The sequence below is a fragment of the Homo sapiens genome, chromosome 5, assembly GCF_000001405.40.
Source record: "Homo sapiens chromosome 5, GRCh38.p14 Primary Assembly".
NCBI classification, from domain to species: Eukaryota; Metazoa; Chordata; class Mammalia; order Primates; family Hominidae; genus Homo; species Homo sapiens.
Window position 1 is genome coordinate 179,952,515 of NC_000005.10, and position 14,152 is coordinate 179,966,666.

The 14,152-nt window shown below is 41.6% G+C and overlaps 1 protein-coding gene across 3 annotated transcripts in view; it reads right to left on the reverse strand.

The window, feature by feature from the left end:
- Positions 1-14,152, reverse strand: part of RNF130 (ring finger protein 130) — a 160,109-nt gene that overhangs the window by 40,864 nt on the left and 105,093 nt on the right. The window contains exons 8-9 of one of the 3 annotated variants that reach the window (NM_018434.6): positions 10,957-11,050; positions 2,553-3,155 (exon numbers count right to left, since the gene is read on the reverse strand). The exons of 1 other annotated variant lie outside the window; for it this stretch is intronic. In NM_018434.6, the coding sequence (NP_060904.2) occupies positions 3,140-3,155; positions 10,957-11,050 (110 nt within the window). In that variant the 3' untranslated portion in view covers positions 2,553-3,139. Of the gene's footprint in view, positions 1-2,552; positions 3,156-10,956; positions 11,051-14,152 lie in introns of those variants that run through there. One more of the 3 variants, NM_001280801.2, reaches the window with a different exon arrangement.

Below are 14,152 nucleotides of genomic sequence, written 5' to 3' on the forward strand. Positions count from 1 at the left end.
AATAATACCAAGGTCAGATAAGGACATGATAAGAATTAATTACATATCAATATCCCTTATAAATATAGATGCAAAAATCCTCAGCAAAATACTAACAAACTAAATCCAGCAAATATAAAAAGGATTGTACATTATGACCAAGTGGGATTTGTCCCACAATTGGTTCAATGTAAGAAAATCAATGTAATGCACCACATTCATAGGATAGAATAGAATAAAGGGCAAACTCACATGATCATCCCAATAGACACAAAGCTTCCGACAGAATCAAAAACTATTTCATGATAAAAACGTTCAATAAGCTAGAAATAGAAGGTAACTTTCTCAACTTGATAAAGGTATCTAGTCTATAGTCTTAATAGCTAACTTCATCATCAGTGGTGACAGATGGAAAGGTTTTCCCTACGAGATCACAACAACACATGGATGTCTGTTTGCACCATTTCTATTCAACAATCTACTATTTGAGGTTCTAGCCAGAACAATTAAGCATGAGGATAAAATAAATAAGCATCCAGATTGGAAAGGAAGAAGAAAAATGATCTCTATGTACAGATGACATGATCTTGTAGACAGAAAAGCCCAAGGAATCCACAAAAAAATATGAGAATAAATGAGTTCAGCAATGTTGTAGGATAAAAGATCAATGTAGAAAAATTAATCATAGTTCTACAGAAATTAAACATGTGGAACGATATCCCATGCTCATGAGTTGGAAGACAATATTGTTGAGACAGCAATGCTAACTAAAATGATCTACATATGCAGTGCAATCCCTATAAAATCCTAGCTTTTTTTTTTTTTTACAGAGATTGAGAAGTTGATTCTAAAATTCATGCAAGGGACCCTGAATAAAGAAAACAAACCTGGAAAAGAACAAAGTTTGAGAACTCACACTTCCCAATTTCAAAACTTACTATGAAACCAATGGAAGAATTCAGAGTCCAGACATAAACTCATATGTCATTCTCAATTGATTTTTGACAAGGGTGCCAAGACCATTTAATGGAGGAAAAAAGTCTCTTAAACAAATGGCACTGGGAAAACTGAATATCCACATGCAAAAGAATGAAGGTAACACCCCTACCTTACACCGTATACAAACATTAACTCAAAATGGATCATCAAAGATCTAAAAGTTAAGAGCAAAGACTATATTGTTCTTAGAAGTCTCTGTGACCTTAAATTAGGTAATACATTCTTAGACATCTAAAGTACAATCAACCAAAGGAAAAATAAACATATTCAACTTCATCTAAATTTAAAACTTTGTGCTTTGAAAGACACTACCAAGAAAGTGAATAAATAGTTTAGAGAATGTGAGAAAATATTTGCAAATGACCTATCTGATAAAGGCCTAGTATCTAGAACATACAAAGAACTCTTACAACAAAAAACAGTCCAATTTAAAAATGGGTAAAGCACCGGGATAGACATTTCTCCAAAGAAAATAGAAAATGGCCAAAAAGCACATGAAAAGATGCTTTGCATCTTCAGTCACTAGGGTAATGCATGTTAAAAACATGAGACAACTCCTTCACACCCACTATGACATCTATAAGAAAAAAGACAGGCAGTCACTGGTGTTATGGAGGTTGTGAAGAAATTGCAACCCGCATACTCTCTTGGTGAGAATGCAAAATGGTGCAGTTGCTTTGAAGAACATTTTGGCAGCTTCTCAAGAAGTTAAACATAGAGTTATAACATAATCCAGCAACTGCACTCCTAGGGACATATCAAAGAGAACTGAAAATATATGTTCAGGCCAAAATTTGTACATGAATGTTCACAGCAACATTCATAACAGCCGAACAGCGGAAACAAGTCAAGCGTCCATCAGCAGAACAAAATGTGGTACATCTATACTATGGAGTGTTAACCACACAAAGAAGTTCTGACACATGCTACAACATGTATGAACCGTGAACACATGCTAAGTCAAAGACGCCAGACACAAAAGGCCACATATTATATGGTTCTATTTACATGAAATGCCCAGAACAGGCAAATCCATAGAAACAATGAGTAGATTTCCAGGTTTCCAGGGCTGGCAAGGGTGAGAAGTTACTGAGTATGAGGTTTTTTACGGGGTGATGAAAATGTTCTGGAATCTGATAGTGGTGATGGTTGCACAACTGTGTGACTATACTAAGAACTACTGAAATACACACTTTAAACGGGTAATTTTATAGCATGTGAATTACATTTTGATTGCAAAAATCCTTTCAGCCCCCTGCTGATTTGAGCATGACTACTGGAGTGAACCCGTTTTCAATAGGAATACGTTCTCACTCCTCAGGTAAGCTGAGGTAGAAGATTAAGAATTCACTGCTGCAAACATTTACAAATACTGAAAATCCTTCAAGCATATAATTCGATGTAACAAAGTATTTTGAAATTCTCCTCATCAGTAAAGCAAAAGTATTTCACCGGCACATGTAAAATCGCTCTCACCTACTTTTTTGAGTTTGCTGTTTTTACAAGAATACAAAGTAGGTAATAATTTATTACTAATTAGATGTGGTTTGGAAAATCATTTTGACACTCATTCCTTCATTCCACAAATATTTATTGAGCACTTACGATGTGCAAAGCACTCTGTTGGGTGCAGGGGCACAGTGGGGAGCAAATGTTACAAGTCCCTGCTGCTGGGGGTGCTGCAGCTCTGGTGGAGGCTGATCAACCACAGAGAAGAAATTATCACAGAGTGAATGTCCCCCTTGAAGAATGAGTAAATCAACTGACCATCCTAAGCGGCATCACCAGCAGGATGTCCCCGCTCTTGCGCCCTATGTGGGTAGGAGCCAATGTGAAGACACCAATAGTAAGTGTCAATCCCTGTTCCTCTCACGGGAGCCAGGAGCACATTCTGTCTCTGAAACACAAACAAATGCAATCTGGGTCTGCGAGCTTCAAATCAGCCCTCAAAACACAGGTCTGGTTAATAAGACTCAACAGCACAGACTTTTTATTTTATTATTTATTTCTTTTAATACAAAGCTTTGGCATTAGCAATTTTATGAAAAAATAAAATGTACTAAAAATAAATGCTTGTGTGGCATGATTGGTAAATGATGCACAAAAATAGGTTCTTTTTTCCTTCAAGGCAAAATCAGTCAGAAAGCAGGTTTTTTCTTCTTCAAAACCATTCTACCCTATGGAATAAAAGGAAAAAAGAGGTCATAAATTAAAGAGTAGTCAAATGTTTAAAATAACAGAGAAGTGACCCTAACTGAAGGGTGGCCTGGCTGTCCCCAGCTAGTTCCCAACCCCTCTGGTAAGGCCAGGAAGCCATTAAGTGTTTTCCCAAAATCAGCAGTTTCAGATCTGCAGTTGACTGACTCATCCATCTTAGAGGTGCTTTAATACTCCCAAAAGGATGAAGGAAAAGGTCAGGCCCATGGCGTGTTGTTTAAATACACAGGGACAATTATCATACAATTTACAATTTTTCCTGGTTTAAACACATGTTCTGAATGCTGAGGGTGCTGAAATCTGCCGCTGTTGTCTTTAAAAAATGCTCCTCTTACCTCTCAAACAAGAATGTCCTCACTTATTTTGAAGTGATAGGGATGTATGGCTGTCTCACAGGAATCCTCCAGACCTTGTGTGTGTTTCTGTCCTTGCATCAGGTGTAAAAACAGCCTATGACCTTTTGACAAGCCCCTGCGCTGCCCGAGCTCCTGCTGCCCTCTCTGCAGCCCTGTGCTGTGGGGCTGTCCTGGCTTTCTGATGCCTTGGATTCCTGCTCATTTCCAGGGTCCCCAAATCAAGCTGTTAGCGTTGATCTTTTTCTTTCTGCTGAGCTCCAGATCTCTGCTTCAAACCATATAAGCTTTGGTTATTACACAACTCTCTAGCAACTCCTGATTTCAGCTCCTGCTCGCCACCCTGACTTGCTCCTTCAACTCCCTATTTTTACCTAATCTATCTTCCTGCCTTCATGCCCTACCACAGCAAGCAACTTCGCAGCCACTAGGAATATCTCTCTGCTGAAAGGCCTTAGAGCCCATTACCAGCTCTTTATAAGAATCAAGTCCAAAATCTGTCTCCTGCCTACCGTCACCACCACCTACAGCAGACACACCAAACCACACAACTCGCTGATCCTGCTCTGTGCGGTCCTCACTGTGTGCCCTAATTATGCCCAGGCTGGTTCCTAAGTCACTCTTCCATGCAGCCTTTTCAGCTCCCCCAAAGGTAAGGCGGCAGCTCCGCAGGCATGACCCAGAAGGGCCTTTGCGTACTCCCTCACTCTCCAGCCACATCAGTACGCACATGAGGGCATAGCCCTGAGCTCTGGCGGGGCCAGACCAGGTCTCCATTACCTTCAGCACTGCGAGCCCCGTGCTTGGCACAAGCCCGGGAGCCTACTTGGGAAACAGCATCTCAATGAATGAGGGGGCGTTGTCAACTTTTTTGAAAAACCTCTGGTATAAAGGATATTCACAACTTCACATAAAGTTCTGTACCTTATTATTTCTTGTAGTTCCTATTTAAGGTAACACATTTTCTAATATTTCCTCAGAAAAACTGGATATTAGATATAAAGAATTTTTAGGGGTAATTTAGTTTTCAAATCTACTTTATCTTGTTGCCTCTTAAAGAAATTATAGGCTGGGCCTGGTGGCTCACGCCTGTAATCCCAGCACTTTGGGAGGCTGAGGTGGGTGGATCACCTGAGGTCAGGAGTTTGAGACCAGCCTGGCCCACATGGCAAAACCCCATCTCTACTAAAAATGCAAAAATTAGCCAGGGGTGCTGGCAGGCGCCTCTAGTCCCAGCTACTCGGGAAGCTGAGACAGAAGAACTGCTTGAACCTGGGAGGCAGAAGTTGCAGTGAGCCGAGATCCCACCACTGTACTCCAGCCTGGGTGAGAGAGCGAGACCCTGTCTCAAATAAATAAATAAAATAAAGCAAAATAATAACCACTGCCAAAGAGAGCAGAGAAGTGCAAGTTCCCACTGCCTTTAATACTCATGTTGCAACTGCATTTTTAGGAAACCAAATTTGTCTCCTTCAACCACATTATTTGGCACTATCCTCCTCTCTGAAGTAGTCAAATGCAAGCAGTTTAAAGGAAAAGGTTGGAACCAGAGGTGCTGGGTTTGAATTCCAGTGGCCTTCTTCCTATGGCATCCCTTCAGAGTCACTCAATCCCTCGAAGCCCTACTTTATTCTTTTGTGTACATATATCTCACACTCAGATTGGCTACAAGGAGAATAAATACCAAGAGAAAGAAAAGGATCCACTATCCAGCAATACACCTCAAACAGAGGTTAATTTTAAATCTTTTCTGGAATTGTTACAAGACGGGCTGTGTGAGCAAAAGGTTATCAGGTTGAGAACTAAAAATTCAAAATTCTTTTTTTTTTTTTTGAGACGGAGTCTCGCTCTGTCGCCCAGGCTGGAGTGCAGTGGCGGGATCTCGGCTCACTGCAAGCTCCGCCTCCCGGGTTCACGCCATTCTCCTGCCTCAGCCTCCCAAGTAGCTGGGACTACAGGCGCCCGCCACTACGCCCGGCTAATTTTTTGTATTTTTAGTAGAGACGGGGTTTCACTGTTTTAGCCGGGATGGTCTCGATCTCCTGACCTCGTGATCCGCCCGCCTCGGTCTCCCAAAGTGCTGGGATTATAGGCGTGAGCCACCGCGCCCGGCCAAATTCAAAATTCTTTAGACAAGTGTTTCTCAAAACTAAAGCATACAACCTATTAATGGTTATACCATCAATTTAGGAGTTAACGACTAATATTAACAACAAGGCACAGGACTGACTACATCAGAGAATACTGCATGCAGTCAGGGAAGTGTGTGAAATTTGTTTCAGTTACACATGGGAGTACTGGGTCACAACACAAAATGTATCTCTTACAGTAGGAAGATGGTTTTTAGAAAGTCTGAAAAACACTGCTTTTGATATTTAAGGTTCTAAAAGAGGTAACTGAAAGAGAACCCAACAGCTCTCCTCGGCCTCTGATCCCTCCTAGGAACAATTCAAGAGGGACCCTCAGCACAGGACGCATCTCAGAGCCTTCTACCTGATCTGAGGTCGGCCTGTGAACAGGTCTATCCTGTAGCTTCTGTCTGAAGAATCAGGTCCTGGTGCAGGCTCGCTAGCTTTCAAAGTGTCCCGTGTTTTGGACGGACAATTTTAACTACTACAAAGTTGTTTCTTTCTTTTTTTTTGAGACAGAGTTTCACTCTGGTCACCCAGGCTGGAGTGCAATGGGGCGATCTCGGCTCACTGCAACCTTCGCCTCCCAGGTTCAAGTGATTCTCCTGTCTCAGCCTTAGCTGGGATTACAGGTACCTGCCACCACACCCAGCTAATTTTCATATTTTTAGTAGAGATGGGGCTTCACCGTGTTGGCTAGGCTTGTCTTGAACTCCTGACCTCAGGTGATCTGCCCACCTCAGCCTCCCAAAGCGCTGGGATTATAGGTGTTAGCTACCACGCCAGGCCACAAAGTTCTTTCTTATATCAAGTGGAAATCTGCCTCCCTGTAGATATCGCCAGAGCTCCAGAAATACAGAGTAAGCATCACTCTGTATGCACTGGTTAGTCAACATGAGGCTCTTTTGAGTATTAAACCAGGCAATACGGGTAAAAGAGACCAGTGCAGGACTAAGATCTTGGTAGGCATTCAATAAACAGTAGTTATTCTCATCTTTGTTATTCTCATCTTTAAGAGTCCTTCAAACACCTGGAAACAGCTCTCATCTTACCCGGTCCCCTCTCTTCCAAACCAAGCATCCCCAAGACATCAAATAATTAAATTTTCAGACCCTTTTATGCTGAGTGTGCTAGTTTCTCAATATTCCTCTTAAAAAGAGTACTGAGCACTCAAGCCTGTAATCCCAGCACTTTGGGAGGCCGAGACAGGTGGATCACAAGGTCAGGAGTTCAAGACCAGCCTGGCCAAGACAGTGAAACCCCATCTCTACTAAAAATACAAAAAAATTAGCTGGGCGTGGTGGCGGGTGCCTGTAATCCCAGCTACTCAGAAGACTGAGGCAGATAATTTCTTGAACCCGGGAGGTGGAGGTTGTGGTGAGCTGAGATGGCGCCACTGTACTCCAGTCTGGGTAACAGAGCGAGACTCCGTCTCAAAAAAAAAAAAAGAGTACTGAGCAAAATAATTCAGAAATACTGAGAGTAAAATAGAAACATCATTCTTTTTGTATAAATAAAGGAGTTTATATATATAAATTTCTACTACTACACTAAGAGGAGGAAGATCACCGGGAGCTTTCTGGTGGACCTGCTACAAGAAGCCAGGGCTTCCTGATCTCCGGTCATGCCACTGGATCATTTGCTCTAGTTATTTCGTCACCTTTACCACTTCAGATTCATTTCCTCATGCCAAGATTTTTTTGAATCTTGAATAATGAGCTACCGTTCTCTGCAAATCTTAGAACGTGATTTCTATGAATCAGAATCCAGCAATGGGAAAAGGGCTCTAGGGGATACCTAGTCACGCCTCCCACTAAACTTCAAATCTCTACTACACATTTGTATATGTTCCTCAAATAAAAATAATAAAAATATTTATTTTTCTTATTTTGAGGGAAAACTAGAGTGACACAAATTTCAGTTGGTAAATGTTGACATTTCACAAGGTTTATATGAATAGCCAAGTAGAGCAGAAGACCTCTTTTGGGAATTGAAATTCAGTAACCTCGCTTACCTAGGTACTAAGAAACCGAGGTGTGAGAAGCCAATATGTAAATATATTTACCTTGCATTTATTCACTTCTTTGACTACCATCCTGTTTATATTTGCAAAGTTTCAAAATTTACCAGATCTGTTTGCAGTGTTAAAAAAATTTAATGTATAATCAGTCGCAGTACTAAATAAACAGTATTTCATCATAACAGAAGGGCAGTGACTCCAAACACAAGGGCTTTTTGATGGACTTCTGATTGAAGCCAACAGCACGAAGCCCTTGGTCAATGCACCGAGCGTGGTGAGGAAGGGATGGGGGCTTGCACCCCTTGTGGGGATCCTCCTTGTGTAGTTAGCAACCCACCCATGACAGGGGGCCCTAGACCACCTGGGTCCCACACACTGCCCTGACATCTTGCCCACAGGGTTTCAACAGTGAGTAGACAGGGTCAAGGACTTGCTTGAACAGTAATATACAAGAACAGTGACTAGTAACACTGCCAGAAAGGTAAACTATTCTAGTAGGTATATGCATAGAGGTGGAGTTTAGTATCAATTTTTGGACAGTCATTAAAATGCCAAGAGATGAAATCTATTTATATATGACTATCTTACAAATGGATGAGGTTACCCAGAAAATTAAGCCAGGGCAATTAAGGTGAAAAAAAAAAAAATCTTATTTTGGTTGTAAGTTTATTGGTAGATAAAGGCAAAAACAGAAATAAAATAGATGTTGAAAAATTCATTAATAACGAATAATTACAAATTTGTTTGCTAAAATAAACTTTTCTCTGGAATAAAATCAGTAGGAATTTTTCATTGATATTTTTGAGAAAAAGACATTGGGTAAGAGTACTATTATCTTTCCTATCATCTGCCACAATAAAAACTGCCTTTAAAAAGATTAAGTAATTCATGCTTACTGTTAAAAAAAAAAAACACAACACATAAAAGCACAAATTGAAGAAGACGTTGCCCCAGATTCTAAAGTAAGATAATCACCACATTCTGGTGAGCATCCTTGCTCGTATCCACATGCGTGCATACACAACATGCACGCACACACACACTCTCTCCATTTTTCTCTCTAAATGGGATCATGAATATTGTCCTTCGGTGGTTTTGACTGAAGGCACAGAAATAATAACCAAATGAGCAACTGTGAAATCAACCCTCTACAACTGCTAATGGGAGAAGGGTTGAACTAAGTAAGGCATGGATCTAAGATCCATGACTTAGATTCTGAGTCATGCAGGTATTTAGGCATGGAACTAAAATATTACGGCCCACATACTATGATTTCTAATAGGTAACATGTCTACTGAGCACTCTCATTTTAATCTGATGCATGAACTGAACATCAGACAGATTCTGAGTGGCAGTCAGGTGACTATTAAACTACCCAATAATTCTCGAAAAGTGCCTAGTGTAATTATTTGCTTGTACTGGTTATCACTCATTTGTGAACTTTTTAAGAAGTAGGCTTGTATTACTATCTTGCCTGATGGGTTAGCATGGGAATAAGCAAAAGAGGTGGCTGTGGGTGAAATAAGTGTTTCCCTCTAAACTCAGGTTTGAATCACAGCTACTCACAGAGCTACTATGGTACTGTGTCCCACTTCACAGAAGAAATTAAATTCACTTCCCAGACAATAAAGGCAGATGGTCATCTGACTCACACAACTTCAATGGCACTGCAGTGGCATTGGCTTGGCTAACATTTATTGAGCACTTCTTATGTACCAGGCACTGTGCTAAGCATTTTATAGGCTGATTCTCATAACAACCCTGCGATATGGTCCTAGCATTATCTGTTTATGAATGACTACAAGGAGCTTCAAATAAATATAACTGCCCAGGTCTTACAACTGAAAAACGGAGGAGCTGAGAGTCAAATCCAGGTGTGTGTGACCTAGAGTCTAAGGAATTAGGTGCGCCATGCTGAAGGAAAACTGCCTGGGTGGCCAACAGCAGCAGCTAGTGGTTCACCTGCTGGATGAGGTGCAGTGCTCCTCTGAAGGCTGGGGAATGCCACCCGACCCTGACATCTGTGAGCCTCAACATGTATGGCTCACAGATGCCAGGGGGCACTTCTTCCAAGTATCTAGCCCCAGATGAGGTTAGATTGAATAACACATGCCACTGCAAGTGGAGGCCACTTGCCCATTGTTTCTATAGATGTCAATTACAGTTTCTATAGCCAGACAATGGGCAGTCAATTACATCAACTGCATGAGGTAATCAGTTTGGTTATTACTCATCAATTAAAGTATCAGGACGTAATTGAATATGGAGATCACGTGAATTCCACCCATATCAACCTAGGTTCAAATTTGGGCAGGACCCCAGGGTTGCTTTCATCTCTAATTAGTTTTCATGAATATTGGTAAAAGAAAGGACTGAACGATATCCTCAGTAAATGTCCAAAATTTAGAACAAAACAAAACAAAGCAAAAATAAAAAAACCCTTTCTATACCTTATCCCTATGGAAAGCTACTCTTGGAACAGCATTGGATCAAAATGGACCATAACAGTCATCTAGCCCAATCCTCCATCCTCTCAAAACACCTCACTACAGCACCCCTGACAAGTGACATCCAGCCTCTGCCTACATTCCCAGTCCTGAGCGTGCCCTACAGCAAACCATCCCGCCACTAACCAACCCCACCGACAGACGTCCTTCCTTTTACCGACGTGAAGCCTGCCGTCATGGAGCCTGCTCTTTGGTCGCCATTTTGCCCATGGAGATAGCGCTTAGACTTATTTTCTCTTCCTCCTCACAGCTGTCCTAACATCTGGAAACAGCGGGTCTTTCAAACTGCTTCTTTCCTGCAGGCCAAGTACCCAAGGCACTGGTCCTGACCACAGGCACGGCCGCCGGGGCTTCCCCAGAAGCTAGACATGCCAGGCTCCAGATGTGTGTGATGAACGCAAAGTGGGCTCTTCCCATCAGCGATGAGGATGCTGACAGCCTTTTACACTCTAAGACTATACTGCTCCTTTGCCACTTGCATTACACTGCTGATTCATTCTAAGCCTGTGGCTAATGAAAACCTCTGGATCTTTTCTCAAACGGGCTGCTCTTGTTGAATAAGGTGAATTCCCAATCTGTGTTACTGACTAAAAATATATGCTCATGAAATAAAGTATTTTGCTAGATACGATCCCATCAGGATCCGTATGAAACTGGTAGAAAGCCAGTTCTCACCACCTTCATGAAAACTGCTCCATGTGTTTTCCTGGGATCATCTGGCACATGCAATCCAAAAACAATTTGTTACTTACTCATTAGCATTCAAGCTAGCTGTGGCTCTGATGATCATGTAGCAGAGTGTGAGGGCACTGAGGAGGCCAAAACTGGCAATAATAAACCATTCTTCTGTTGACAAAGGAAAGGGAGGAAATCACTCTGGGGAGAAGGTTTAAGTCAAATCGATGCCAACATTTCCCTCAAATGCAACGAAGCAGACGTCAACGGAGGTGTAAGCCAAGATTGGCCCAAGGAAGTGAAGCAGGAGGTTTGCCAGAGAGCTACTAACTGGAGAAGGTTAGTGGAAGTACTGGTGAAAGCTGCAAGGGAGAAAGGAAAGCATGGCTCAACCATTTCTTCCATTTAGGTCCTGAGGTCTGTGAGGAGTGTAGCCACCAAAAAGTGTGCGGTGAAAATATGTATATAAAATTGCACAAGGACATAGATTTTTTTCATTGTTAATGTAAATGACAGTAAAGTAGACTAAGCATATTTATAACCTTCTTTCCTTCTTCATTCTGTCATTTCTGCAGGGCTTTCATTCTTAGTCAAAGGCTGAGGAGCACGGAGCAGCAGTTCTCCAGGTCCTGTGGGTGCTCCCAGCCGTCTGCGAGCCGGCCTCCCATGGCATCCATGGCTACATTCTTCTCTCTTATGCATGGGCTTACTTAGGATATTTACGTAAAAAGGACATCTCACTGGTGTCTCAAGAAAGTAGAAACTACTCTTCCCAACCCCTGCCGAGGAGCAGCACTGGCTGTCCAGGCTGTGACAAGCACAAGTAGGAGGGGCGGGCGACTGACCGGGTACTTGGCCACCACAGAGCTGAAAACCTCTGGTGCTTACAACAATAAGGATGTTTACTAGACTGTCTCTCTCTCTCCATCCAGATATTCTCCTTTACCTTTTCAGAGCCTATGTTGTCAAGGTAACATTTTAAAAACAGTATTTATTGAGAACCTCTAAAACAACCTAAGAACCAATCTGACTTGCTAAAAAGTCTTAACTATAAAATATTTCTTTGAGTACACACTGACTAGGGCTGTTTTAACAAAATGTTATACAATAAAATTACCTATATATGTGCAAGAAGGCAGAGAGAACTCTTTACACGTGGACTGCCAAATGTTTTATGCACAAGCTGTATACAGCATGTGTGTTTCTCAATCTGGGTTCCACAAATCCTAACCCTGCATGCAGAATTGTGTGTGCATAGGCATTTTTCTAGAAAAACATACTTTTGTTAGATTTTAAAGGTGGTGACTTTCAAAAGGTCACGCAGCACTGCTCCTGGGGACTTCCGGTCCAGAGAGTGCTCTAGGAGCATTTCTCTGCCCACCTTAGCTTGTGTTATTAAAATGCTTAGTAAACCCCTATCTTTTAGACACCAGTGCAGCCACGGCCTCTCAAATTACAAACTTCCTCATCAGTAGATTGAAGCTTTTTATTTAATCAGCATGAACATTCAAAAACACATATAAAACCCACCATTTTTACCTGTAATGTTTTAAGTTAGGGAAAATGTATATGGCATTTATAAAAATCAAGAGCCGAATGTCATCATCATCAAGGAACTTAACACAGTATCCTCTTTTTTCTTCTTGGAGACTTTTATATATGATATGCAGACTACCTTGTAGAACTTCGTCACATCTATGCTTCCAAATTCTGAGTCTACCATCCCGTATTTGCATGTCTTTGTGTGTGTGTGATTGCAATTTTAAAAACTAGTAACAAAAGGAAGTAAACACCATCATAAAACACCCAATATGCTGGCAGCATTTCCACAGTGCCCCCCTGCAGCCGGCCTGGCTACCTCTGCCCCCAGTGCCTACTTAGCACAGTGCCTGGCACACAGTGGGTGCCAGCGGGAGGCACTGTGGTTGCTACGGTGCCCAGGGCTTCGGAGGGAAAGCAGAGGTAGCTGTGGTTTAGTTCAATCACGTGGGTTTTATTTATTAACATCATGTGCAAATTCTGCTAAAGGTGATTAATTTGGTATATGAAGTAACTTTTTTTCATCAAAGTATAAGATTTTGAAAGGACATTTCTACATAAAATGTAATGGGATCAGTACTTAATGTAGTAAGTAGTAGGTGCTCAATAAATGTTTGATCAATGAAGGACCTGAAAAACTCACTAATAAACCAACAACCTTTGTGTCCTTTATTACTACTCAATCAAGTTTTAAAACTGTAGACCATAAAACCTCAACGCCAAAGTAAGAAAACCATGAAATGCTATTAAACGAATCGAGAGATGGTGAGAAATGAGCCAAACTACACTCAAAGCACAGTTTTCTCTATTGCATAGCTGAATGAAGCCTCCCTGAGTTTACACAGATGACAGAATACAACCTGGGCAATCATTTTCTAATAATAATGTCTGGTTGGTTAAAAACATGAATACTTTGATTGAACAGACCACACGAGTCTTAACATGTGAGGAGAAACATTTTGTAACAGTGTCATCCATTTCACTGACTCCCAGACTGGAGAAGGGTCCCACGAGCCTCAGGGCGTGACGTGCTAGGCAAGCAGCAGCAGGTGCTGGGAAAGGCAACAGCAGAGCAGCAACCAGGAAGATGGGTGAAAGGTTGTTAGATGAAAGGAACATGTAGAGAATGGAAGCGAAGAGAAGAGCTGGCTTGTTGAGGGCTGAATGTCTATGATGCCTACACACACGCTGTCAGCTCACTCACACCGTCCTGAGGCACCGCCATCAATACACTCAGCATTTCTTTCCTGCTAGTCGACAGTGCAATGTGAAGACGTTCATAACTAGCTCACGGTATTTTTTTTTCAGGCAGATTGTCCTTTGGCTTTTCTCCTACCTCATGTACAACTACACCAAAGAGTTAAGTGCCAAGAGACCAAACTTCCATAAAAAATGTAAAATAAAGTGCGCAACAGGCTATGTTCCAAGAACTGTGAATTTTTAGGTTCAAGTTCTAGATGAGTTTCCCACTAAGTAGCCTGTAGCCCCGGAGGTGGAGAGCACGAGCGCTCACAGCATACAACACACCAGCAATACTGCTGGGGGACTGTGTCACCTTCCAACATCTCCCTTTAAATGCCTGTTTGTAATGCAATGATTTCAAAACAAGGTTTATAAAACAGCGACTAAGACAGACCTCTGAACAGCTACTCATCAAATGCAGCTATTCCTATTAATTATACACAAACACACCAGCTACTTATCATAAATAAAGTTTCATTCTTCCAAATACCT